General features: G+C 47.3%; 2 protein-coding genes and 1 long non-coding RNA gene across 12 annotated transcripts in view, besides 5 other annotated features; 2 read left to right on the forward strand and 1 right to left on the reverse strand.

The window, feature by feature from the left end:
* Positions 1-14,273, forward strand: part of CCDC62 (coiled-coil domain containing 62) — a 52,957-nt gene extending 38,684 nt beyond the window's left edge. For 2 of the 8 annotated variants that reach the window (NM_201435.5, XM_011538856.3), the window contains exons 11-13: positions 15-164; positions 10,111-10,204; positions 13,167-14,273. In NM_201435.5, coding sequence (NP_958843.2) covers positions 15-164; positions 10,111-10,164 — 204 coding nt within the window. In that variant the 3' untranslated portion in view covers positions 10,165-10,204; positions 13,167-14,273. Of the gene's footprint in view, positions 1-14; positions 165-10,110; positions 10,205-13,163 lie in introns of all 8 variants that reach the window. The other 6 variants (XM_006719644.3, XM_047429680.1, XR_944784.2 and 3 more) reach the window with 5 other exon arrangements.
* Positions 343-422: an enhancer, noted in NCBI's record as "active region_7238". NCBI's record gives its function as "activates an Ori minimal core promoter by ATAC-STARR-seq in GM12878 lymphoblastoid cells {active_cell/tissue: GM12878}" and the evidence as "EXISTENCE:reporter gene assay evidence [ECO:0000049][PMID:35858748]".
* Positions 16,433-16,633: a silencer, noted in NCBI's record as "peak2024 fragment used in MPRA reporter construct". NCBI's record gives its function as "represses an SCP1 promoter by STARR-seq MPRAs in K562 erythroleukemia cells {active_cell/tissue: K562}" and the evidence as "EXISTENCE:reporter gene assay evidence [ECO:0000049][PMID:32103011]".
* Positions 21,300-21,978, reverse strand: LOC124903040 (uncharacterized). Its single transcript, XR_007063501.1, has 2 exons — positions 21,919-21,978; positions 21,300-21,583 (listed from the first exon to the last, which is right to left on the reverse strand). It is a non-coding gene; the product is annotated as an uncharacterized LOC124903040 (long non-coding RNA).
* HIP1R (huntingtin interacting protein 1 related) overlaps positions 21,493-26,506 on the forward strand; it is a 28,214-nt gene continuing 23,200 nt past the window's right edge. For 2 of the 3 annotated variants that reach the window (NM_003959.3, NM_001303097.2), the window contains exon 1: positions 22,202-22,388. In NM_003959.3, the coding sequence (NP_003950.1) occupies positions 22,296-22,388 (93 nt within the window). In that variant the 5' untranslated portion in view covers positions 22,202-22,295. Of the gene's footprint in view, positions 21,752-22,201; positions 22,389-26,506 lie in introns of those variants that run through there. The other variant, NM_001303099.2, reaches the window with a different exon arrangement.
* Positions 21,804-21,853: an enhancer, noted in NCBI's record as "active region_7239". NCBI's record gives its function as "activates an Ori minimal core promoter by ATAC-STARR-seq in GM12878 lymphoblastoid cells {active_cell/tissue: GM12878}" and the evidence as "EXISTENCE:reporter gene assay evidence [ECO:0000049][PMID:35858748]".
* Positions 22,104-22,343: a silencer, noted in NCBI's record as "silent region_5022". NCBI's record gives its function as "represses an Ori minimal core promoter by ATAC-STARR-seq in GM12878 lymphoblastoid cells {active_cell/tissue: GM12878}" and the evidence as "EXISTENCE:reporter gene assay evidence [ECO:0000049][PMID:35858748]".
* Positions 22,514-22,713: a silencer, noted in NCBI's record as "silent region_5023". NCBI's record gives its function as "represses an Ori minimal core promoter by ATAC-STARR-seq in GM12878 lymphoblastoid cells {active_cell/tissue: GM12878}" and the evidence as "EXISTENCE:reporter gene assay evidence [ECO:0000049][PMID:35858748]".

Below are 26,506 nucleotides of genomic sequence, written 5' to 3' on the forward strand. Positions count from 1 at the left end.
TTAATTTCCTGTAGGCTTCAATTGTGTTACCCTCCCAGGATGATTTCTCGCCCACGAGCAAGCTCCAGCGTTTGCTGGCGGAATCTCGTCAGATGGTGACGGACCTGGAGCTGAGCACACTGCTGCCCATCAGCCATGAGAATCTCACTGGCAGTGCCACAAATGTATGCGTTTCATTTTCTCTTGACTATATTTGTCACATCCAAACACACCACTGAACACCAGTGTGCAAATATCACCGGCAGGGCGGCCTTTCTGTTAGAGGGAGAGTTTCTGTGTCTCTAGGGAGGAAAGGGAACATGCTTGTTTTAAGGAGGAAAAAGTTACACTTAGATGTCACTGGACCCAAACTTCCTCTTTCTAATGATCTGGGGCATATGAAGATAAATTCTTGGGGACTTTTTTCTTGGAGGGGGCGGGTACAGAGTTTTGCTCTTGTCGCCCAGGCTGAGGTGCAGTGGCACGATCTCAGCTCATTGCAACCTCCACCTCCCGGGTTCAAGTGATTCTCCTGCCTCAGCCTCCCAAGTAACTGGGACTAAAGGCCTACTCTACCATGCCCGGCTAATTTTTATATTTTTAGTAGAGACAGGGTTTCACCATGTTGGCCAGGCTGGTCTCAAACTCCTGATCTCCAGTGATCCACCCACCTTGGCCTCCCAAAGTGCTAGGATTACAGGCGTGAGCCACCACGGCCAGCTGGAAATGTTTTAAAAAACCAAATTTTATTATAGAAAGTTTCAAGGCCGGGCGTGGTGGCTCATGCCTGTAATCCCAGCACTTTGGGAGGCCGAGGCGGGTGGATTACCTGAGGTCAGGAGTTCAAGACCAGCCTGACTAACATGGAGAAACCCCGTCTCTACTAAAAATACAAAATTAGCCGGACATAGTGGCACATGCCTGTAATCCCAGCTACTCGGGAGGCTGAGACAGGAGAATTGCTTGAACCCCGGAGGTGGAGGTTATGGTAAGCCGAGATTGTGCCATTGCACTCCAGCCTTGGCAATGAGCAAAGCTCCACCTCAAAAAAAAAAAAAAAAAAAAAAGAGAGAGAGAAAGAAAGAAAGAAAATTTCAAATATGCACTGAAGTGGAAAGAATGGCACGGTCACTCACCTTTGACCACCATCGATTTTATCTTACCCCATCCATACACGTTTTCTTTGGAAGCATTTTAGCTCAGCATCATATCATGTCACTCATAAATATTTCATGATCATGATGTCTCTCTAACAGATATGGACTTTTAATTTTTTTTTTTTTTTTTTTGAGACTGAGTTTTGCTCTTGTTGCCCAGGCTGGGGTGCAATGGCACGATCTCAGCTCACTGCAATTCTCTGCCTCCTGGGTTCAAGCAATTCTCCTGTTTCAGCCTCCCAAGTAGCTGAGATTACAGGCACCTGCCACCATGCCTCACTAATTTTTGCATTTTTATTAGAGACGGGGTTTCACCATGTTGACCAGGCTGGTCTCGAACTCCTGACCTCAAGTGATCCACCTGCCTTGGCCTCCCAAAGTGTTGGGATTACAAGCATGAGCCACCCTGCCCGGCCTAATTTTAATTTTGTGTATTTATTTATTTTTGAGACAGCATCTTCCTCTGTTGCCCAGGCTGGAGTGCAGTAGCTATTCGCAGGCGTGATCACAGCTCACTGCAGCCTCAAATTCCTGGGCTCAAGCAATCCTCCCACCTCAGTCTCCCAAGTAGCTGGGACCACAGGCACGCACTGCCATGCCCACTCTGTTTGCCAGGCTGCTTGAACTCCCGGCCTCAAGTAATCCTCCTGCCTCAGCCTCCCAAAGTGTTGGGACTATCAGCATGAGCCACCATGCTCAGCTTATTTATTTGTTTTTTAGAGACAGTCTTGCTCTGTCACCCAGGCTGGAATGCAGGGCCAACTTGAACCTCCAACTCCCAGGCTCAAGTGATCTTCCCACCTCAGCCTCCTGAGTAGCTGGGATTACACGTACACGAAACCACACCCAGCTGATGTTTTTATTTTTTGTAGAAACAGGGTCCCACAATGTTGCCCAGGCTGGTCTCAAACTCTTGGGTTCAAGCAATCCTCCTGCCTCAGCCTCCCAAAGTGCTGGGATTATAGGCGTGAGCCGCTGTGCCTGGCCTGGCTTTTCTTAACAGTGTCTTTTAAAAAGCGAAATTTAAAATTTTGATTACTTCCAACTTAACAGGTTTTTTTTTTTCTTTTTTGAGACGGAGTCTCGCTCTGTCGCCCAGGCCTTGGTGCCAGTGGCGCGATCTCGGCTCACTGCAAGCTCCGCCTCCCGGGTTCACGCCATTCTCCTGCCTCAGCCTCCCGAGTAGCTGGGACTACAGGCGCCCGCCACCACACCCGGCTAATTTTTTGCATTTTTTGGTAGAGACGGGCTTTCACCGTGTTAGCCAGGATGGTCTCCATCTCCTGACCTTGTGATCCGCCCGCCTCAGCCTCCCAAAATGCTGGGATTACAGACGTGAGCCACCACACCCAGCCTATTCTAGTAGTTTTTTTGTAGATTCCTTAGGATTTTCTACACAATCATGTCATTCATGAATAGAGACAGTTTTATTCCTTTTTCCAATATTTATGCCTTATTTCATTTTCTTCCCTTACTGCTCTGGCTAGGACCTCCAGATGAGTGTTGAATAGAAGCAGGGGAGCAAACATCTTTGCCTTATTTCACGAAATGCTCTCTGATGGCAATTCTTGCTTAGTCCTTCAGATTGGTATTTTGTTAGATTCAGAGTTCCCTGGAGCAGTTTCTATGTGCCGCGAATAGATCCAAAACTAGAACATTAATCATTTTAGAATCAAGATGCTCACTGCCATGAGCCTAAACAGGTAGTTGCAGAGATTACCTTAAAGCAGAACAGGATCCAAAACTAGAAATTTTTCAAAGTATACCATGTGTGCCATATAAACTTTTCAAAGTGGAAACCGTGATGGACTCTGGTGTTTCCTAGGAAGATTTCTTCTTCACAAGCTGTCTCTGAGGCATTAGTGAAGCGTTGCATTTATATTGGGGCAGAGGAAGGTTTTTAATGACAAAACTATTTTGGTGCTTAGCTATCCCTTTAAATGTATGCAGTGAGGCTGCTTCTTCCCCTGTGTCTGGGGAGAACCTTTATGACTTTTCTAGTCATTCTTTGGCAGCTATTTCTTTAAAATACATTTTTTTAATTGAGATATAGGCCAGCCATGGTGGCTAATGCCTGTAATCCCAGCACTTTGGGAGGCCAAAGCAGATGGATCACTTGAGCCAAGGAGTTTGAGACCACTCTGGGCAACATTGAAAAACCCCACCTCTACAAAATAAAAAATTTTTTTTAATTAGCTGGACACACTGCCATGCACCAGTAGTTCCAGCAACTCAGGAGGCTGAGGTAGGAGGATCACTTGATCCTGGGAGGTCAAGACTGTGGTGAGCCATGATCTTGCCACTGCATTCCAGCCTGGGTGACAGAGTGAGACCCTATATCAAAAAGAGAGACAGAATTCACATTTTATTATTTACATACAATTCACCCTTCTAAAGTGTACAATTTGGTGGTTTTTTTTAAATCATATTAATAAAATCGTGCAGCCACTACCGCTATCTAATTCTAGAATATTTTAATCACCCCAAAAGGAGACCCCACATCCACAGCCACTGGTTACCACAATCTACTTTCTGTCTCTATGGATTTGTTGGACAGATAATTTTAATCAGAATTTGTTGACTAGAATTCATGGGATCCATGAACTTTGATGGAATAAAGATTACATGCCAGTTTATTTTTATTTTTAAATTTTATTTATTTATTTATTTATTGTTTTGAGACAGAGTCTTGCTCTGTCACCCAGGCTGGAGTGCAGTGGTATGATCTTGGCTCACTGCAAGCTCCACCTTCCGGGTTCACACTATTCTCCTGCCCCAGCCTCCCAAGTAGCTGGGACTACAGGCACCCGCCACCACGCCTAGCTAATTTTTTTTTTTTTTTGGATTTTTAGTAGAGATGGGGTTTCACCATGCTAGCCAGGATGGTCTTGATCTCCTGACCTTGTGATCCACCCGCCTCGGCCTCCCAAAGTGCTGGGATTACAGGCATGAGCCACCATGCCTGGCCTATTTTTTTATTTTTATTTTATTTTTGAGATGGAGTTTCACTCTTTCCTCCACTTCCTGGGTTCAAGCGATTCTCTTGCCTCAGCCTCCTGAGTAGCTGGGATTACAGGTGTGAGCCACCATGCCTGGTTAATTTTTTGTATTTTTAGTAGACAGAGTTTCACCATGTTGGCCAGGCTGGTCTCAAACTCCTGACCTCAAGTGATCCTCCCAACTTGGCCTCCCAATGTGCTGGGATTACAGGCGTGAGCCACTATGCCTGGCCCAAATTCACGTTTTCCAAACAAGCATTATAGCAACAGATGTCTCCTCCTTGTCCTCGTGGCTTCAGGTTGTTCTCTCAACCTCTTTGTTAGGGTTTTATGTCAAATTCCTGAGATATAATCAATCACTCCCTCATTTTTGTCCTGCTAGTGTAGCTCTGTGTGTGTGTGCCTGCACATGTGTGTGTGTGCATGCATGCGTGTGTGTGTGTGTATCTGCCTCCATCAGAGTGCACGTCAGGTAGCCAACAGGTGACTGCGTCCATGACTCCTGCTCACTGTGAACGCCTCAGGACCCTTCTCCACCTTGGCACCCTGGCTGCAGCACCCAGCATCTGCCACAGGCGGTCTCAGGGCCTACCTTGAATGGAACTGACAGGAACATGCAGAAAAAAGAAAAAGCTGGCCAGGTGCAGTGGCTCACACCTATAATCCCAGCACTTTGGGAGGCCGAGGTGGGAGGATCACTTGAGGGCAGGAGTTCAAGTTCTGCTGGGGCAACATACCAAGACTTTGTCTCTACAAAAAATTCAAAAATTAGCTGGATGTGGCCAGGCGCGGTGGCTCACGCCTGTAATCCCAGCACTTTGGGAGGCCGAGGCAGGCGGATCATGAGGTCAGGAGATCAAGACCATCCTGTCTAACACGGTGAAACCCCATCTCCACTAAAAATACAAAAAAATTAGCTGGGCGTGGTGGCGGGCGCCTGTAGTCCCGGCTACTTGAAAGGCTGAGGCAGGAGAATGGTGTAAACCCATGAGGCGGAGCTTGCAGTGAGCCAAGATCGTGCCACTGCACTCCAGCCTGGGTGACATAGCGAGACTCTGTCTCAAAAAAAAAAAAAAAAAAAAAATTAACTGGACGTGGTGACCCATGACTGTAGTCCTGGGTACTTGGGAGGTTGAGGGGGGAGGATCGCTTGAGCATGAGGTCAAGGCTACAGTGAGCTATGATCACACCACTGTACTCCAGCTTGGGCCATAGAGTGGGACACTGTCTAAGAAAAATAAAATAAAATTAGCTGGGTGCAGTGACTCACACCTGTAATCCTAGCTCTTTGGGAGGACCACACAGGAGGATTGCTTGAGCCTGGGAGTTCGAGACCAGCCTGGGCAAGATAGTGAGACCCCATTGCTAAAAAATAAAAATTAGCCAAGTGTAGTGGCTCACGCCTATAGTTCCAGCTACTCAGGAGGCTGAGGTAGGAGGATCATGACTTTGAGCCCAGGAGTTCGAGGCTACAGTGAACCACGATCACACCATTGCACTCCAGCCTGGGCAACAGAGCAAGACCCTGTCTCAAAAAATATATTTTTTTCAGAGTGTTTGAGCTAGAAAGATCCAGAAGAGATATCTAATTCCAACCTTACATTTTACAGGAAGGGAAAAATGACCGAATCTCTTTAGTCAACAAAGTACAGCTAGAATCAGAAAATCATTTAATTGGAAAAACTGTTGGCTCCAGATATCATACATTTTCTGGTGCATTAACTGATTCTAGAGATATTGGGAAGACAGAATTTAAATAACAGGGATTTACCTGGCAACACGCTTTACAAACTCCTCCCCCCATGCCTTTGTACTGAGTACAGCTAGGTACCGAAAAAGCAAATAATTTTGTTTAAAAATTCTTAATTTCTGCAATAAGGAAGCAGGGTAAAGTTCTGAGCAGCGTGTCTGCTTCTCCAGGGCTTTGCCATCTGTCGCTACAGACAAGGGTCGCAATTCAGAGCCTTGCTGTGAGACAGGCACTCTCCCACGTTGCCAGGGAGCAGGCAATGATTCAGTCCTCCTGTTGGGGAAATTGGCAATGTTTTCTAAAAATCACTGAAGAACTGACGCTTTGACAATGCAGTGTCACTTTGGGAATCTCTCCCACAGATACTTCTGCATGTGTATGAAATGGCATAGGCACACGTGTTTCTTTGCAGCATTGCTTTACAATAGCAAATGATAGGAGGCCACCCACCCAGTGTCCAGCAAAAGGGAACCGAGGGAATAAGCTGTGGTCCACCCACACGGTGGAGTTCTGAGCAGACATAGAACAGAATGAGGTGCTCTAGTATGTGGAAATATTTCCAGATATATTGCTAAGTGAGAAACGTGCAAGATACTGAAGGTTCATATGGCATTCCACATACATAAGGAGAGGGCCAGGAGCAGTGGCTCACACCTGTAATCCCACCACTTTGGGAGGCCAAGGTGGGAGGATTGCTTGAGCCCAGGAGTTCGAGACCAGCCTGGGCAACATAGCTAGGCCCTGTCTCTACAAAAAAAGGTTTTTAAAAACATTAGCGGGGCATGGTGGTGCACACTTGTAGTCCCAGGCACTCGGGAGGCTGGGACAGGAGGATTGCTTGAGCCCAGGAATTTGAGGCTGCAGTGAGCTGTGATTGAGCAACTGTATTCCAGCCTGAGCGATACAGCAAGATCCTGTCTCAAAAAAAAAAAAAAAAAAAAAAGAAGAAGAAGAAAAGAAAGAGGATGGAAATAAGAATATATATTTGCACAAAGACACAGTGGAAAGATGATATAAATTTTACCAATAGGAGGCATGAGGGATGAGGCAGAAGCGGGACTTCTCAGTTTATACCTGTTTTTATTATTTTGATTTTTAAACTATTCAAGAAAAACTCCAATAATTTAAAAATAGACAAAGGAGAAAAAAGGAGTTAGAGTAAGGGGAAGCGCACAGCTGAGCACATTGCCTCATGGCGGGCTTCCTCCTTGCCTGGAGGGTAGGGGTGAGGAGCGGACCCTACCATAAACTGAGCTTGGACTTGTGCCTGCTGTGTGGGCCTGGCCGTCCTGATTGCTGGCTTGAGATGGTTGGTGTTACCTGTCGGGGCTCTTGGCCTTTCTCGTGGCAGGCTGATAAAGCCTGCAGATCCCTTTCAGAATGAAGTTTTTAAACGAATAAGAGAAAATACATAGCATGGTAGCAAGGCACGGTGGTTCACGCCTGTAATCCCAGCACTTTGGGAGGCCCAGGCAGGCAGATCACCTGAGGGCAGGAGTTCCAGACCAGCCTAGCCAACAAGGTAAAACCCCCTCTCTACTAAAAATACAAAAATTACCCGGGCATGGTGGCGTGCCGTAATCCCAGCTACTCGAGAGGCTGAGGCACTAGAATCGCTTGAACCCAGGTGGCGGAGGTTGCAGTGAGCCGAGATCACGCCACTGCACTCCAGCCTGGGCAACAGAGCAAGACTCTGTCTCAAAAAAAAAAAAAAAAAAATCAGATGGTAAAATACATGGGCAATTTGCATAGAGAGGAAGCAGCATGAGTAAAAGCACAGAGGACTGGAAGCACCCTTGGGTGCCCCTGAGGAACTGTGAGGGATCCCGGGGTGGCTGGAATGCAGGCCACACAGGCAGGGGGAGGTGAGGAGGTGGGCTCACCTGCAAGCCAGGGGTCACCACGGAATGCACTGGGGTCTTTCCAGGCATCATCTCCCCTTCATTCCTCCCCCTTACCTCTCCACTCCCCTTCTTCCTCTTTTCCCCACCCAGACACCTAAGAAGGCTAACGAGGCACTTAGAGTTGCCGATGCTTAACTACTGACCACTGTTTTCAACACGGCTCACTGAGGGCTCACTGGATCGGTGCCTGTGTTAGGACTGACAGCGAGCCAGTTATATCTGGGCATTAGCTGATGGCCAGCGTTTAGCTGTAACACACATGGTGAAGCAGACAGAGAAGTCCTTCCAGATTAGAGACAAAGGGGACCCCACACATGAATGGGAAGTCAAGAAGCCTTTGTTGGATGGATGGATGGCAATTGTATGCAGTCACTTCATTATATTTTATTCATTCCCTAAGGTCTTATTTATTTATTATTTTCTGAGACAGGGTGTCACTCTCTCGCTCAGGCTAGAGTGCAGTGGCACGATCATGGCTCACTTCTGCCTCAAACTCCCAGGCTCCAGCGGTCCTCCCACTTCAGCCTCCTGAATATCTGGGAGTACAGGTGTTTGTCACCATGCCTGGCTAATTTTTTTTTAAGTGTATTTTTTGTCTCCCCGTGTTGCCTAGGCTGGTCTCAAACTCCTGGGCTCAAGAGATCCTCCCACCTCAGCCTCCCAAAGTGCTGGGATTGCAGGCGTGAGCCACTGTGCGTAGCCACTATGGTCTTTTTTAAATTGACAAATAATAATTGTATATATTTACAGTGTATAGTGCAATGTTATAATATGTATATAACATAGTAGAATGACTAAACCAGCTGTGTATCTATCACCTCACATACTTATCATGTCTTTGTAGTGGAAAGATTTAGAACCGATTCATTTAACAATTTTGAAATATATCATACATTATTATTGGCTGGGCACAATGGCTCACACCTGTAATCCTAGCCCTTTGGGAGGCTGAGGCAGGAGGATCACGTGAAGCCAGGAATGGGCAACAATGGGAGACCCTGTCTCTATAAATTTAAACACACACACACACACACACACACACACACGACATTATTTATCTTTTTTTTTTTTTTTTTTGAGACAGAATGTCACTCTTGTCACCAAGCTGGAGTGCAGTGTCGTGATCTTGGCTCACTACAACCTCCACCTCCCAGGTTCAAGCGATTCTCCTGCCTTTCAGCCTCCCAAGTCGCTGGGACTACAGGCGCGTGCCACCACGCCCAGCTAATTTTCGTCTTTTTAGTAGAGACAGGGTTTCACCATGTTGGCCAGGATGGTCTCGAGCTCTTGACCTTGTGATCCGCCTGCCTCGGCCTCCCAAAGTGCTGGGATTACAGGCGTGAGCCACTGCACCTGGCCAATACATTATTATTAACCATAGTCATGGTGCTGTGCAATAGATCACTAAAACTTTTCCTCCTGTCTAATTGAAACTTTGTACCTTTGACCAATAGCTCCCCTTTCCCCATCCACTCCCTCCCCAAGCCTCTGGTAATCACTATTCTACTCTCTGCTTCTATGAGTTCCACATTTTTTTTTTTTTTTTTGAGATGGAGTCTCGGTCTGTCGCCCAGGCTGGAGTGCAGTGGTGCGATCTTGGCTCACTGTAAGCTCCGCCTCCCGGGTTCACACCATTGAGTTCCACACTTTTTAGATTTCAAATATAAGTGAGATCAGGCAGTATTTGTCTTTCTGTGCCTGGCTTCTTTCACGCAGTCTAATGTCCTCCAGGTTCATCCACGCTGTTGCAAATTACAGAATTTTGTTTGTTTTTATGGCTAAATATTACTCCATTGTGCGTATATACTACGTTTTCCTGATCCACTCATCTGCTGACAGGCACTTATGTTGCTTCCGCATCTTGGCTGCAGTGAACATGGAGTGGAGTGCAGATATCTCTTCATCTAACGTCTTTTTTTCTTTTTTCTTTTTTTGAGACAGGGTCTCACTCTGTCGCCCAGGCTGGAGTGCAGTGGCGTGATCTTGGCTTACTGCAACCTCCACCTCCTGGGTTCAAGCAATTCTCCCACCTCAGCTTCCCAAGTAGCTGGAATTACAGGCGGGCGCCACGATGTCCAGCTCATTTTTGTATTTTTGGTAGAGATGGGGTTTTGCCATACTGGCCAGGCTGCTCTTGAATTCCTGATCTCAAGTGATCCGCCCACCCTGGCCTCCCAAAGTGCTGGGATTATAGGCATGAGCCACCACGCCCAGCCTCATCTAACATCTCTTAAAGGCATTTCTGCTATATTTGTGTTTAGTCTTCTTAAGAATTTTTTAGTTTCTCTATCCTGAATACTAATCTGGGAGTTGTTTTCTAGAAGTCAGAGGTCCCAGAAGAGTCAGCTCAAAAAAATACCTTTGTCAGTTATTGAAGGAAACAAAAGGCAACTTCAGTATTCATCGTGATCACGAGTAAGTCACCTTTGCTTATCTCACCTTATATCTCAATTAATATTTAATAAGTAACTTGGGAACATCGATAACGTTGAGTCAAGGCCATGCATTTGTTTGACTTGTAATACTTTCTCTTTTGCTCGACCAATTTATGCATACTTCTAAATTTAATCAGAGTAAAATGTCAATTACTTGCAAAGAAATGCAGATCAAAAAGTTCTCCTGCACTCCAGCCTGGGAACACAGTGAGACCTTGTCTCTTAAAAAAAAAAAAAAAAAGGCCGGGCGTGGTGGCTCACACGTGTAATCCCATCACTTTGGGAGGCTGAGGCGGCTGGATCACGAGGTCAGGAGTTCGAGACCAGCCTGGTCTGTCACTACTAAAAATACAAAAATTAGCCAGGCGCGGTAGTGGGCGCCTGTAATCCCAGCTACTTGGGAGGCTGAGGCAGGAGAATCACTTGAACCCAGGAGGCAGAAGTTGCAGTGAGCCAAGATGGCACCACTGCACTCTAGCCTGGGCAACAGAGCAAGACTCCGTCTCAAAAAAAAAAAGTTATTATTCTCAATACCTAGAATTTTAAATCTAGGGAAGTGAATACATAGACACAGCTTTAAAAATCAGAATCTAATATGAAAAGATGTTCAACATCACTAATTATCAGGGGAATGCAAATCAAAACCACAATGCGGGCCGGGCGCAGTGGCTCATGCCCATAATCATAGCACTTTGGGAGGCCAAGGCGGGTGGATCACTTGAGGCCAGGAGTTTGAGACAAGCCTGGCCAACATGGTGAAACCGCGTTTCTACTAAAAATACAAAAATTAGCCAAGCATGGTGGCGGGCACCTGTAATCCCAGCTACTCGGGAGGCTGAGGTAGGAGAATTTCTGGAACCTGGGAGGCGGAGGTTGCAATTAGCCAAGATTGCACCATTGCACTCCAGCCGGGCGACAATAATGAGACTCTGTCTCTAAACAAACAAACAAAAAACCAAACAAACAGAAAAACCACAATGCAGTACCACCTTACTCATGCAAGAATGGCCATAATTTAAAAATCAAGAAATAATAGATGTTGGCATGGATGTGGTAAAAAGGGAACACTTTTACACTGCTGGTGGGAATGTAAACTAGTACAACCCCTATGGAAAACAGTGTGGAGGTTATCCATAAAGAACTAAAAGTAGAACTCCGATTTGATCCAATAATCCCACTACTGGGTATCTACGTGGAGGAAAAGTATATGAAAAAGACACTTGTACACACATGTTTATAGCAGCACAATTCGCAATTGCAAAAATACGGAACCAGCGCAGATGCCCATCAATCAACTAATGGATAAAGAAAATGTGGTATATGGGCCAGGCATGGTGGCTCATGCCTATAATCCCAGCACTTTGGGAGGCCGAGGCAGGCAGATCACCTGAGGTCGGGAGTTTGAGACCAGCCTGGCCAACATGGTGAAACCCTGTCTCTACTAAAAATACAAAAAATTAGCTGGGTTTGGTGGTGCATGCCTGTAATCCCAGCTACTCAGGAGGCTGAGGCAAGAGAATCGCTTGAACCCAGGAGGCGGAGGTTGCAGTGAGCCGAGATCGTGCCATTGCACACCAGCCTGGGCAACAAGAGTGAAACTCAGTCTCAAAAAAAAAAAGAAAAGAAAAAAAATTATAGCTGAAAAAAAATCAAAATTAATGTTTTAGCATTTCATCTGTCTGTCCAGAAAGAAGTTTTTTGTTTGTTTGTTTTTGAGTTGGAGTCTTGCTCTGTCGCCCAGGCTGGAGTGCAGTGGTGCAATCTCAGCTCACTGCAACCTCCACCTCCCAGGTTCAAGCGATTCTCCTGCCTCAGTCTCCCAAGCAGCTGGGATTACAGGTGCGCATCACCACACCTGGCTAATTTTTTTTTTTTTTTTTTTTTGAGACAGAGTTTTGCTCTTGTCTCCCAGTCTGGAGTGCAGTGGTGCGATCTCAGCTCACTGCAACCTCCGCCTCCCGGGTTCAAGCGATTCTCCTGCTTCAGCCTCCCAAGTAGCTGGGATTACAGGCATGTGCCACCATGCCCGGCTAATTTTTTTTTTTTTTGTATTTTTAGTAGAGACGGGGTTTCGCCACGTTGGCCAGGCTGGTCTCGAACTCCTGAGCTTAAGTGATCCGCCCGCCTCGGCCTCCCAAAGTGCTGGGATTAAAGGCGTGGCCCCCCACGCCTAGCCAAGAAGTCTTTATGTGGAGTAAAGTTTTATAAAAGTTTTACATGGGGTAGCTGGGCGCGGTGGCTCACACCTGTAATCTCAGCACTTTGGGAGGCCGAGGTGGGCGGATCGCCTGAGGTCAGGAGTTTGAGACCATCCTGGCCAACATGGCGAAACCCCGTCTCTACTAAAAATACCAAAAAAAAAAATTAGCCGGGCATGGAGGCGCATGCCTGTAATCCCAGCTACTGGGGAGGCTGATGCAGGAGAATGGCTTGAACCCGGGAGGCGGTGGTTGCAATGAGTGGAGATTTGGCCACTGCACTCCAGCCTGGGCGACAAGAACGAAACTCCGTCTCAAAAAAAAAAAAAAAAAAAAGTTTTACATCGAGTAAAATCTTCATAAAAACGTGTATTGACCCAGTAAGCACTTTCTGGATTTGTGTTTACTTCTATCAAACCTGCATTTCATATGCGGTTTCCTCAGAACCCAGTTTGATAAGCTAAAGCGTACAGGCATTTCGGATCTTTTCAAGGTAAGCATATCAGCATTTCAAAGACACTGGGGAAGCAGAGAGCCTGAGCAGCGCCGTCCCCGCCCCCATCCCTCCTCCTCTCCCCTCCCTCTCTCCGCTGAGTTTTCATATTTATAGTATTTTGCATGTCCTGATGTTGATGAAAATCAGGATGTAGAGTTAATATTTTAGACGCCAGGAGCTTATAGCATGCTCTCCAATATTAATTGATTGTATTTTATTAATGTTGTGTTTTCTTCATCCAAAAGCAGATTTCTCATCTATGTGGAAGGCAGAAAGCAGACACCAATACTGAATGAATACTTAACCGTAAAACTGAAAGAGGATTCTAGTTCTTCATAAACGGCACTTAATTCCAGCTGGGAGCAGAACTAGAAAGTTAATTTTTAAACATCTACACTTCATTTTCAAGTTAACCATTTTTGTGCTGAAGAAATATTTTCATGTGTAAGAAAGTAGACCTTATTGTACATATAGAAAGTTGGAATTATGCTAAGAATGAAAAAGACTTCTCTGTAAAGATACGGACTACAGTTAAATGCTAGAGAAGCTCTTTAAAAATGTGAATGTCAAATAGAGAAAGAACCCTGCATAGAAAGTGCTGTTTTAACTATCTGATTTTTAAAAAATCTGTGCATACATTTAAATTCTAAACAATAGCTTATCAGAGTCAGCTCAAAATATATGAGAAACAGTATTCTCTCATGGTTTTAGCTTTTGACTTTGCTGTGTAAATAGACATAAGGTGCTTTGATATAAAATATAAAATGTAACTGGAAAATAGCTCGAGGTCCTTCTGTCCCAAGCTGAGCAGAGCCCCATCTTTCTGGGTCTATATTAGTCCCACCTACTGACACAAACAAAAGCTTGCTGGAAGATCGAGTTTTAGACGCATTTTTAAAAATCTTAAAGACTAAAACACTTCCATTTTAACTTGTAAAGTAATTTAATTTTTTAAAGATTATACTATATGCCTCTGTGTCTTCTCTAAAAGAATAGATCAACTTCAGTCCATAAAAGATATTTTTAATATTAAAGAAAAAATATGTTTCCTTGGTTTCTTTTTATTTTACAGGAGTAAAATAAGGAAGGAACGTTCATCACTTTAAACTGAACCTGGCAAGTTAATTTCCTCAGGAATGGGGATGTATTTTTTTAAGCATTGCAGATATCAAAGTTCTATTGTGCTGAATAAATGCCCCTTTGTTAACAGGTCTCAGTGTTACTTCAGAGATGATTTTCATGAGCGGGGAAGAGCCACCTCATTTAGCCTTTTTAATTAGGGTGCTGAAAAGAGAAGTTGGGTGAGGTTTGGTTATGTTCTTTATCAATGCGTGCTTTCTCCCTCAGGCTGGGCTGTCTAGAGCAAAACGGAGAAAGGTATAGTTGCTTCTGAGCTGCTGCCTGCCAAGTAGAAACCTAAAATGACCCTTGGGGAGCGTGACTTCCTATCTAAGAATCAAAATATTAAATTTTCTCCTCCTTTTCATGTTCATGACTGCACATCAACTTGCCTAGTGAAAAGGCAACACTGAATAGATGCTAAATAGGAACATGTCAGGGAACTAAAGGATTTGATAACAATTAAACATTATTTTATGGCTAAATGTATTTTAGCTCATAGGATTATAGTACCTACGACACCTGACACCTATTGTATCCCACCAGCTTATCGTTCCATATGCAATCCAACAATGAGAAATTTCAGCTGGGTGTGGCGGCTTATGCCTGTAATTCCAGCACTTTGGGAGCCTAAGGCAGGTGGATCACTTGAGATCAGAGGTTCGAGACCAGCCTGGCCAACATGACAAAACCCCCTCTCTACTAAAAATACAAAAAATTAGCTGGGCATGGTGTCACGCGCCTGTAATCCCAGCTACTTGGGAGGCTGAGGCAGGAGAATTGCTTGAACCCAGGAGGTGGAGGTTGCAATGAGCCAAGATCGTACCACTGCACTCCAGCTTGGGTGACAGAGTGAGGTCCCGTCTCAAAAAAAAAAAAAAAAAAAAAAAAAGAATGAGAAATTTAATGTTAGCAATGCATCTAGCTCAACCGAAGTTATTTATTTATTTATTTATTTATTTATTTATTTTTTTGAGACAGAGTCTCTCTCTGTCGCCCAGGCTGGAGTGCAGTGGCGTGATCTCAGCTCACTGCAACCTCCGCCTTTCAGGTTCAAGTGATTCTCCTGCCTCAGCCTCCCGAGTAGCTGGGACTACAGGTGTGCGCCACCATGCCCAGCTAAATTTTGTATTTTTAGTAGAGACGGGGTTTCACCATATTGGCAAGGCTGGTCTTGAACTTCTGACCTTGTGATCCACCTTCTCGGCCTCCCAAAGTGCTGGGATTACAGATGTAAGCCACTGCACCTGGCCCAAACTGAGTCATTTAAATGACAGGATTTCGTTTGTTTTTATGGCTAAATAGTATTCCATTATGTATATATATACTACTTTTTTTTTTTTGAGACCGAGTCTCACTCTGTTGCCCAGGCTGGAGTGCAGTGGCTCAATTCCAGCTCACTGCAACCTCCACCTCCCGAGTTCAAGCAATTCTCCTGCCTCAGTCTCCTGAGAAGCTAGGATTACAGGTGCCCACCACCACTCCTGGCTAACTTTTTGTTTTTTTAGTAGAGACGGGGTTTCGTCATGTTGGCCAGGCTGGTGTTGAACTCCTGGCCTAATGTGATCCTCCCAACTCAGCCTCCCAAAGTGCTGGGATTACAGGCGTGAGCCACCACATTTCTTTATCCACTCATCTGTTGATGGGCATTTAGGTTGCTTCCACATCTTGGCTGTTGTGAGCAGTGCTGCAGTGAACGTGGAGTGCAGATACCCCTGACCTAAGCTTTGAGCAATTTCTGTTAGAGAGGCAGTCTCCTTTTTTTTTCTATACTTTAATGGATGCACAGAGGCAGTCTCATAGAGTATTTGAAATAGTTACAAGATAAAACTAGATTTTAGCATTTATGTCTTATCAGCAACATTCTTAAGATCAACACATCTGAAGAGGAGGCAAATGAATTATACTACAATCTGCCTGCCAGAAGTAATCTCAGCATTGGAAAAGACTGATATAAGGGTATTTTTAGAATCTGTGAATGGATTTTTTTTTTAATTTTATTTTTAGTGACAGGGTCTCACTCTGTCACCCAGCCTGGAGGGCAGTGGTATCATCATAGCTCACTGTAGCCTCAAACTCTTGGGCTCAAGTGATTCTCCTGCTTCAGCCTCCCAATTAGCGAGGACTCCAGGCACGTGCCACCATGCCTAATTTTTTTTTCTTTAGATGGAGTCTCACTCTGTCACCCAGGCTGAAGTGCGGTGGCACGATGTCAGCTCACTGCAACCTCCATCTCCCAGATTCAAGAGATTCTTCTGCCTCCCGAATAGCTGGGATTACAGGCACCTGCCACCATGCCAGGCTAATTTTTGTATTTTTAGTAGAGACGGGGTTTCACCATGTTGGCCAGGCTGGTCTCGAACTCCTGACCTCAGGTGATCCGCCCACCTCAGCCTCCCAAAGTGCTGGGGTTACAGGTGTGAGCCCCCGCGCCCGGCCAACAGATATTTAAAAACAGAAATAGAAATACCCCCAAAGAAAAAAAGTTCTGAATTAAGATAAAACATAAACACTAAAAGCAGCTTTACCCCAAAAGTGCCAAGAGAATGCGTCTAGAACTTCTTGGCTGTGTGGGATAAGGTTGGCTCCATACCTTCCAGGAAGGAGACTGAAGACTGAATCCTTGTTATGGTCTGGCAAACTGATCCTGGAGTTTTCTCCTGTGGCTTTGTGTGGTTTGACACCTGTAGCTGGGGTGGTGGGTTTGCAGTGTTGTACTTTTGTTTCTCTTGAGCCATTTGATGATGATTTTGTTAGGACACATTGCAGGAAAGTTCATTATTCTAGGCCTTCAACAGAATAATCTTAGCAACCTCCAGTGTGATAGAGAACAGAGTGAACAGGATCAAAATAAGAAACCAGACACATTCATCAAGACTGCAGCTGACAAGGAGGTTTAAAAACCAGAATGGGGCCAGGTGCAGTGGCCCACGCGTGTAATCCCAGCACTTAGAGAGGCCAAAGCTCGCACATCATTTGAGATCAGGAGTTCGAGACCAGCCTGGCCAACATGGCGAAACACCTCTCTACTAAAAATACAAAAATTAGCTGGGCGTGGTGGTGGGTGCCTGTAATCCCAGCTACTCAGGAGGCTGAGGCACAAGAATCACTTCAACCTGGGAGGCAGAGGTTGCAGTGTGCTGAGATTGAGCCATGCCTCCAGCCTGGGCAACAGAGCCAGACTCTGTCTCAAACAAACAAACAAACAAACAAAAAACACCCAGAATGGTCTTTGAGAGAAGTTGATTGAATGAAAAGTGTACATGAATCAGTTCTTTAAAGGATGATGTCTGGGTTCTCAGCCAGATGCATGCTTAAGAAACCCAACCACAACAACAACAAAAAGAAACCCAACAAAAAATCAAAGAATTTTGAGCACACAGTAGGTGCTTTGCTGGCCACTGGAGACACAACAATGAGCAAAGCAGACAATCTAGTCGTAGAAACACACTAATCTAAGAATCCCATACATAGTTCACAAGAGACTGGTTAGTGCTACAAAAGAAAGCTTTGAGATATGATGACAGCTTATAATAGGGACTCAGGTGAAGGGTGGAGTGTTAAGAGAATGCTTCCTTAAAGAAGTGACATCTGAGCCAAGAGTTAAAGACAAGTGGATGCTAAGTAGGGCGAACGGGAAGCAGAAGAGAATTCCAGGCAGTAGGAACAGCATGTGCAAAGGCTCTGAGGTGGGAGGGAACATGACGCATCTGGGACCTGATGGGCCAGGATGGTGCAAGATGAAGCCAGGGACAGAGGCTGGGGCCAGATCATGCATACGAGTCGATGAGTCAGTGTGGGTGTGGTAGCATACCATGTTTTAGTGGGCCAGATGATGTAAACTCTCCTGTGCATCTTGGATTTTCCTTAAAACGAGGTCTTATTTGTATTCCAATTGCTTTGCTTTTGTAATAGGGGTGAGCAGGAATTCAACAGCCCTCGAGATACACCAAAACAGAACCCTGATTCTGATGGCATGAAGAATCTCAGGCCGGGAGCAGTGGCTCCTGCCTGTAATGCCAGCACTTTGGGAGGCTAAGGTGGGAGGATTGCTTGAGTCCAGGAGTTCAAGACCAGTCTGGGCAACGTGGTGAGACCCCCGTCTCTACAAAAAATTTAAAAATTAGCCAGGCATGGTGGTGCACACCTGTGGTCCCAGCTATTCTGGAGGCTGAGGTGGGAGGATCATTTGAGCCCAGGAGGTTGAGGCTGCAATGAGCCATAATCCAGCCACTGCACTCCAGCAGGGGTAACAGAGCAAGCAAGACCCCGTATCCCCCCCGCCAAAAAAAAAGCCAGTCAGTGACAGGGACAATAGTAGACCAGGCCTCCTGCCTGAAGATGTTAGAGAGATGAACCAGAAAAATTAAGAGTGGGGAAGTTTGGGCCAGGCACAGTGGCTCACGCCTGTAATCCCAACACTTTGGGAGGTCGAGGCAGGTGGATCACCTGAGGTTGGGAGTTCAAGACCAGCTTGACCAACATGGTGAAACCCTGTCTCTACAAAAAATACAAAAATTAGCCAGGCTGTGGTGGCGCACGCCTGTAATCTCAGCTACTCAGGAGGCTGAGGCAGGAGAATTGCTGGAACCCAGGAAGCGAAGGTTGCTGTGAGCTGAGATCATGCCACTGCACTCCAGCCTGGGTGACAGAGGGCAACCCTGTCTCAAAAACAAAAACAAACAAACAAAAGATTGGGGAAGTTTGTATCCTTATGTCCTCAGTGATACTCTTTCGTGAGATCAGCTGTATGTTGAAGTATACCAAATGAGGTATTTGTTTACTCACTCTTTCAGCCCTTCATTTGACATACATATTGAACATTGCTATGTGCCAGGTGCCCTGCTAGGCACTGAGTACATAAAACTGAGTAATACAGGGTGGCCCTCTAATAGCTCAAAATCTTACCTACAAGCACATAAAGTACAATCCCTTAGAGATGTGTTAGGAGAGTGCTCTCAGGTCCTAAACAGCAAGCCTGAGGTAGTATAGTACTGAAAGTCATAGACCACAAAATGTAGTCCAAATGGCATGGGTGTTGCGGGCACTGGCCTTGAAATCAGGCACATCTGGGTCTGGATCCCGAATGCAGCGTTTACCAGTTGTGTGAACCTGGGCTAAACTCTCTGAACCTGAGCTTGTTTGTTGGTCTGTAAAAAATACCATCAAGAGGCCAGGTGCAGTGGCTTCGGCCTGTAATCCCAGTACTTTCAAGGTGGGCGAATTCACTTGAGCCCGGGAATTTGAGACCAGCCTGGACAACTTAGCAAGACTCTGTCTCTACAAAAAAACTTTAAAAATTAGCTGGGCATGGCCAGGCGCAGTGGCTCATGCCTGTAATCCCAGGACTTTGGGAAGCCGAGGTGGGTAGATCACGAGGTCAAGAGATCGAGACCATCCTGGCCAACATGGTGAAACTCTGTCTCTACTAAAAATACAAAAATTAGCTGGGCGTGGTGGCGGGCGCCTGTAGTCCCAGCTACTTGGGAGGCTGAGGCAGGAGAATTGCTTGAACCCGGGAGGCAGAGGTTGCAGTGAGCCAAGATCGTGCCACTGCACTCCAGCCTGGTGGCAGAGTGAGACTCCATCTCAAAAAAAAAAAAAAATTAGCTGGGCATGATAGTGCATCCCTCCAGTTCCAGCTACTTAGAAGGCTGAGGTGGGAGGATCACTTGAGCCCAGGAGGCAGAAATTGCAGTGAGCTATGATTATGCCACTGCATTCCGGCCTGGGTAACGAAGCCAGACCCTGTCTCAAAAAAAATAAATAAATAAAAATAAAGTTGTTGATGCTTTATTTTTTATTTATTTATTTTGAGAGAAGGTTTCACTCTGTTGTCTAGGCTGGAGTGCAGTGGCATGATCTCAGCTTACTGCAACCTCTGCCTTGCAGGCCTAAGTGATCCTCCCACCTCAGCCTCCTGGGTAGCTGGGACTACAGGCACGCCATCACGGCCAGCTAAGTTTTTCGTATTTTTTGGTAGAGATGGGGTTTCACCATGTTGCCCAGAATGGTTTCGAACTCCTGAGCTCAAGTGATCCACCTGCCTCAGCCTCCCAAAGTGCTCGGAATACAGGCGTGAGCCACTGTGCCGAGCCTCATCAACAACTTTAAAGAAGAATAAGTGAGATACTGTTTAACAGATGCTGAGCCTGGTGCCCGGCACAGTAATAGGCTCTGTGATTATTTAAAAAGCCAGTTGCTAATGGGAAGTCTCTGTGGCAGATGTGCTAGACCTACAGGGGCTGTTGCCTGGTTGAAAAGGGATGCTGTATATGCGTGAAGGGTCACAGGAGAACCACTTTTGTTCCGTGTGGAAAAAGGAGTGTGAGAAACAGCTGGAGTACCGCAAAAAGCCCCTTTACTGTGGTCTTTATTAGAGCACAGCTATCAACTAAGTTGACTAAGTTACATATGAAGGGTTTAGCCCAGTGCCTGCCAAATAATAAGCATTCAGTACATATCAGCTATTGTGATTCTACCGTTATTCTGATAAAGAAGCTTTTTAGTGATTGGAATTAGAGAAAACAGGATTAATTTCTCCTTTTGGTGCAGTGACAGGAGAGTCTTGGCAAATGTTATCTTTTGGGGTCAGCTCTAGCTCTTGGGCTGGAGGGTGAGGAATCAGTTAAAGAAAAGGGTCCCTGGCGGGGTGTGGTGGCTCACGCCTGTAATCCCAACACTTTGGGAGGCCGAGGCGGGCGGATCACCTGAGGTCGGGAGTTCGAGACCAGCCTGACCAACACGGAGAAACTCTGTCTCTACTAAAAATACAAAATTAGCCAGGCGTGGTGGCACATGCCTGTAATTCCAGCTATTTGGGAGGCTGAGGCAGGAGAATTGCTTGAACCCAGGAGGCGGAGGTTGCGGTGAGGTGAGATTGTGCCATTGCACTCCAGCCTAGGCAACAAGAGTGAAGCTCGGTTAAAAAAAAAGAAAAGAAAGAAAGAGAAGAAAAGAAAAGAAAGAAAGAAAGAGAAAGAAAGAAGAGAGAGAAAGAGAGAAAAGAAAGAAAAGAAGGAGGAAGGAAAGGAAAGGGAAAGGGAAAGGAAAGGAAAGGAAAGGAAAGGAAAGGGTCTCTGACCTCAGACAGGTTACAGTCTCACTAGGGAGACAAGGGTCAGGATTACGTGGGCGTCATTTTCCTCCTTACAGGCAGGCGGTGCCTCTCCCTTCAAAAGCAAGGGACCTTTATGCATGATTCCACATCTGCATTCCGATAGGAAAGGGAAACAGCAGAAACACAATACCCATCTGAGAGCTACGCTTAGAGAGGACTCTGGGCTTTTATTTATTTTTTTACTTCAGTCTTGTGACCAGTAATTTTAAGGGAAAGCCAATAATAATGTTTTTAAAAAGCCTCACGCCACCCCTGGCGGCATCTCCTCGGTGTACTTTGCTGTTCAGATCCGCCTGCCTTCTGTGCCAGCCTAACAGCGCCCGGCCTCAGCCCCCATTGTCCCTGGAGCTGGCGAGGTGTCCGGTTGCGGAGCCGGCGGCGTCTCTGGAAATGCATCCTGCATCCCCGCATGGATAACAGCTGCAGCTATGTCAGAATTGCACAAAGAGGGGAGAGTGTCATTGTGTGCCTTTTGACACATACATTAAGACCAAAAAGGAAAAAAAGCGTCTATCTGTGCTGCCACCGACCAGACTCATGGAGGCCAGATTTTCTCCAATTAACCAGATCTTGCCCTGGTGCAGACAAGACTTAGTGAGTTCGGAGGAGGGGTGGGGAGAGGGAATTGGCTGGGGTCCCTACCCTGGGTGGAAGGAGGAGGGAGGGGTTCCCCCTCCCCCTTCCCCTACCCTCCCCTCCGGGTTTAGGGAGGGGATTAGAGGTGGGGAGGAGCTGGGGGGGCGTTTGGCCTGTGCCCCAACCTTGTGAGTGAGGTGGGGGTTGGAGGTGTGCGGGGGGCGGGGCGTGTGCCGGGGTCGCCGCGGGATGGGGGGTTGGGGATGTGCGGGGAGAGGCGCGTGTCCCGAGATCGCGGGGGGTGGGGTTGGAGGTGTGCGGGTGGAGGGGCGCGCCCTGGAGTTGGGGGCGGGCGAGGCGTTTGCGGGCGCGGGGGGCGGGTTTGGAGGTGTGCGGGGGAGGGGCGTGCCCTGGAGTTGGGGGCGGGGCGAGGCGGGCTCCTCCCCGGCGGGCGGGCCCGGGCGCGGCGCGGTGGCCTCGCGGTGCCTAGGCTGGGGCTGCCGGACCGTGAGGCTGTGAGTCGCGCGGACGGAGCCGGACAAAAGCGGGCGGCGGCGGCAGGATGAACAGCATCAAGAACGTGCCGGCGCGGGTGCTGAGCCGCAGGCCGGGCCACAGCCTGGAGGCCGAGCGCGAGCAGTTCGACAAGACCCAGGCGAGCGGGCGGCGGGCGGCGGGCGGCGGGCGGCGGCGGGCGGGCGGGCAAGCGGCGTCCCTGACCCCTCACGCGCGAACGGCTGGGGCCCGGGAGGCGCCGGCCAGGGGCGGGGGACGGCGCGGGGGCAGGGCCTGTGTCCGCCCGGGCTCTCCGAGAGCTCCGCTGCCGCCCCCCGCCGGCCTCCGCGGCCCGAGCCGACCGGCGCGCAGGTGAACCGGAAGCCGCGCTCCCCGCTCCCGCCGGGCGCTCGGGCCCAGAGGCGCCGGGGCTGAGGGGGCCGGGGTCAGGGTGTGCGCGGGCCGGGAGCGCCGGAGCTGAGGCGGCGGGGGACGGAGATGGGGCCGGGGTTGGGTGTGCGCGAGCCCAGCGCGCCGGGGGTCGAGGGGGCTGGGGATCCAGGTGCTCCCGGGGCCGGCGCGGCCCGACTGGGGTCCCCGACCTTCCGTGCCGCTCCTTGCCGGCTCCTGCCCCCGTCTCCTACCCCCTGAAACCGATGCCCCCACGGGCAATTTCCTTAAAGGAAATTCCTTAAACTCCCAGCTTCCTTCTCTCGTGAGCGGTTTCCCAGGGCTGCACAGTCTCCTATTATTTGCTGGGTGAAAAGCTTCTCGTATGTCGCCAGACTTGTTTGCCCGAGCGCTGCCCACGTATAAATAGGTGCACACCCCCTCATTAAATACCGGCGCCCGACAGACAGAAACTTCCTGGGGCTCCCTTCCTGCGCCTCCCACGCTTGTAACTCTTCCAGATGATGCCTATCCTGGGAAGGCGTTAGAAATGAAATAAGGGCGCGGGTGTGCGTTTTGTACTTGTGTTTGTGCCGGGGACCCACGATGCAGACGTTGCTGCGTTTCTGGTTTCCTGTTGCTTTTTATTTTACAAACTCTTGAAGTGCTCTCAGGCTTGGGGGATGGGCGGTGGAGGGGGGCATACTTGTTTATTTGCCAAAATAAGTCAACCAAGACTGAAATGGCTGAAAAATTTTACTCTAGAGATAAAGGAAGCCAGAGGACCCCTCCCACTCCTGTCTAAAGCAGGTTGGTGACATTTGCGTTTGTGGCGGCTATTTGCAAGTTCCGTCCCACTTGTCCTTGCAGAGAGCTATGACTTCTGCGGTTGCCTTCACATCTAGTTAGCACACGCACTCTACAACAGCTTTCGTTTTGAAATGAGAGAGAACGCAGGGAGACCTTCTAACCTTTGTGCTTGGGATTGACCCAGAAAGCGATAATAAATCCTGAGGATATCAAGGCTTTAGAAATGCGAAGTGCTGGAACCCAGGTGGCTGCAAATTACCAATTTAGCCTTGTGATCTTCATCACCATCAACTGGTTCAGCCCGGATAGCCCGTCATTTTAAAAAAATTTAAAGTCACCAATACATAATTAATTGTGCCAAGAACTTGTAGATCATAGGGAGAAAACCTGAATTGGCAGACATATCTGGATGTTGTCAGAAACTTTGTTTATTCACTGAGTTTTTTCTCGTGCCTTTGAGGACGTATAAAGAGGTCTGATTGCTACATGGAGGAGATGGGATGTGAAGGACCAACTTCATTGATCTTACTCTTAAATGATAAGAAGTCAAGGGCAACCTTCCTGAGTGTCAAAGAGAGAATCTCTGATACAGGACCACACATTTTAGTGGTTGGTTTGATACACAAGAAGGTGGATTTTTTTTTTTTTTTTTTAAAGACAGAGTCTCTCTCGTTGCCCAGGCTGGAGTGCAATGGCATGATCTCAGCTCGCTGCAACCTCCGCCTCCCGGGTTCAAGTGATTCTCCTGCCTCAGCCTCCCAAGTGGCTGGGACTACAAGCGTGCGCCACCACACCTGGCTAATTTTTGTGTTTGCAGTAGAGAAGGTGTTTCACCATGTTGGACAGGCTGGTCTCGAACTCCTGACCTCAGGCGATCCACCCGCCTCACCTCGGCCTCCCGAGATGTTGGGATTACAGGCACCTCTCCGAAGGTGGATTGTTTTGTTTTGTTTTGCTCTGGTTTTTTCTCAGAGGCTAAGAGGGCCACTAACAATGAATAACTTTGTAATGGGTGAATGTCACAGGTCTTACCTATTCTAGGGCCCCATTTTCTGGAAAGTTGGAGTTTGAGTTCATTGTCTGGGTTTGCTCGTCTTCACAGTGACTTATTGAGGAATGTAAGAATGAGGTTTTGTACGTGGTTAATATTTAATTAGATCGTTCCCAGAAATAATCAGGTGAGCCGCCAGCCAGGTCCCGTGGTGGAAAAGGACCTGGAGAGCTGAGGTTGTTACTTCCATGTCTCCTTCGGGACAGAAAATAGCACATGCAGTCCAGGGACCTGGCTTCCTTTGTAATACGCTGCTTGTCTTGCATTGACCACAGCACTGTGTGCTGTGGCAGGAGCACTAGGCTGGCTTAGAATTTAAATATTCACTAGCCTGCCAGCCTCGCTTTCCTCCCCTGGGCTCCTGGGTCAGGAGGAAGATAATTGCTTTCCTGTGAGCTTTTTTGACAGGACACACCCTGTTTGCAAATATCTGTGGGGTTAGCGCTCAGGAGTGTGAAGAGAGGCGATCATGTGCCTGCTGGGAGCTGGTGCCTGTGATTGTTGCATGGTGTGTGTGTATAATCCCAGGGGAATGTCCAGAAAACCAGTGTATGCTTTTCTTCCCTATGACTTTAGTCCCTTTGGTTAAAAAAAAAAAAAATCCTTTTCAAAATGGAGGTGACAAACTTTTATTGTCTTGTTGCTGTTTTCTGAATACAGAATACTACAAAATACAGCATGCCTGTATTTGGAACCTGAACACTGCCTGTACCATTTAAAAAGAGGGTGTGGTATCATAAAGGCACTAGTAGGTAGATAGACCTAGGCTCTAGCCTGTGTCCCTGGCAAGTTGCTTAACTTGTAAATCTATGTCCTTGTCTGAAAAAAAAACCATACAGATCGTTCCAGCTATCGTATAGGGCTGTTGTAAGGTGTAAGAGAGAGACCGTGTGGCAGCTAGAACCTGTGACTACGTTAATGACTTAGTAAGGCGTTGCAGGTGGAATTAGAGTTTTTCATCAGCTGAGATGGTCCTTGAGATGGGGCGATTCTCCTGGGCTACCAGGTGGGCTCAGTGTAATCACAAAGGTCTTTAAATGTGGACAAGGGAGGCAGGAGAGGAGGTCGGACTGAGTCCATGTGAGAAAGACTCACTGCCTGCTGCTGGGGAGGAGCCACTAGCCAAGGAGTATGGGCATCCTCCACAGCCTGGAAAAGGCGAGGAAATGGATTCTTCCCTAGAGCCTCCAGGAGGAAACACAGCCTTTCTGACACTTTGCTTTTAGTCCTGTGAGACCTGTTTTAGACTTCCGACCTCCAGAACTGCGAGTTTGTGTGATTTGTTATGGCAGCCATAAGGAACTAATACATCCAGTATGTAAACATGAAAGAGCACCTAGGGCATAGAAGGGCCTCAGCAGATACTTGGCCCAACCGTCTTTCTCCCTTCCCTTCCTCGGCTGAAAAGTTTAACATCTAGAGAAGAAAGCATCTTTGAAGCATATCATGAAGAAGGACTCAGTTAGGAGTACTGGAAATGCTAATGGTGAGTCCTGCCTTTTCCTGATCTGTGAACCTTTCTGCTTCACTGGGCCTCAGTTTCCACTGCAGGCCCACAGGATGGAGATCAAGCCCAGAAGATTCCTCTCAGGTTAGGATGAGAGAAACCCTTTACTACACTGCAAGGCCTCTGGCCACTGCTGAGTGAGCCAAGTCTGGCGGGTGAGCATTAACTGTAGACATGAAACTACCCAGGTGTAAGGGGTTCCTGTGGGGCAGGGACTGTCTAGGGCAGCAATATGTGGAAACAGTTCATAGGTCCAATTTTCCAGGTTGGTGACATACATGCTTAGCATCCCCCGTGAAACCAAAATCCTGTCAAGATTAACATTTATTGACAACTGAGGGCTTCTCAGCCCCGGCACACAGTAGAGCAGTGTTGTCCAGGAGGAACCAGAGGCAAGCCACGTGTGTACTTTTAGATTGTCTAGTAACTACTAGAAAAGTCAACAGAAACAGGTGCGATTAACTGTAATAGCATATTTTATTTAACCCAGTATATCCAAAAGCTAGCCCTTTCAACATGT

This window comes from Homo sapiens, chromosome 12, assembly GCF_000001405.40.
Source record: "Homo sapiens chromosome 12, GRCh38.p14 Primary Assembly".
Lineage (NCBI taxonomy): Eukaryota > Metazoa > Chordata > Mammalia > Primates > Hominidae > Homo > Homo sapiens.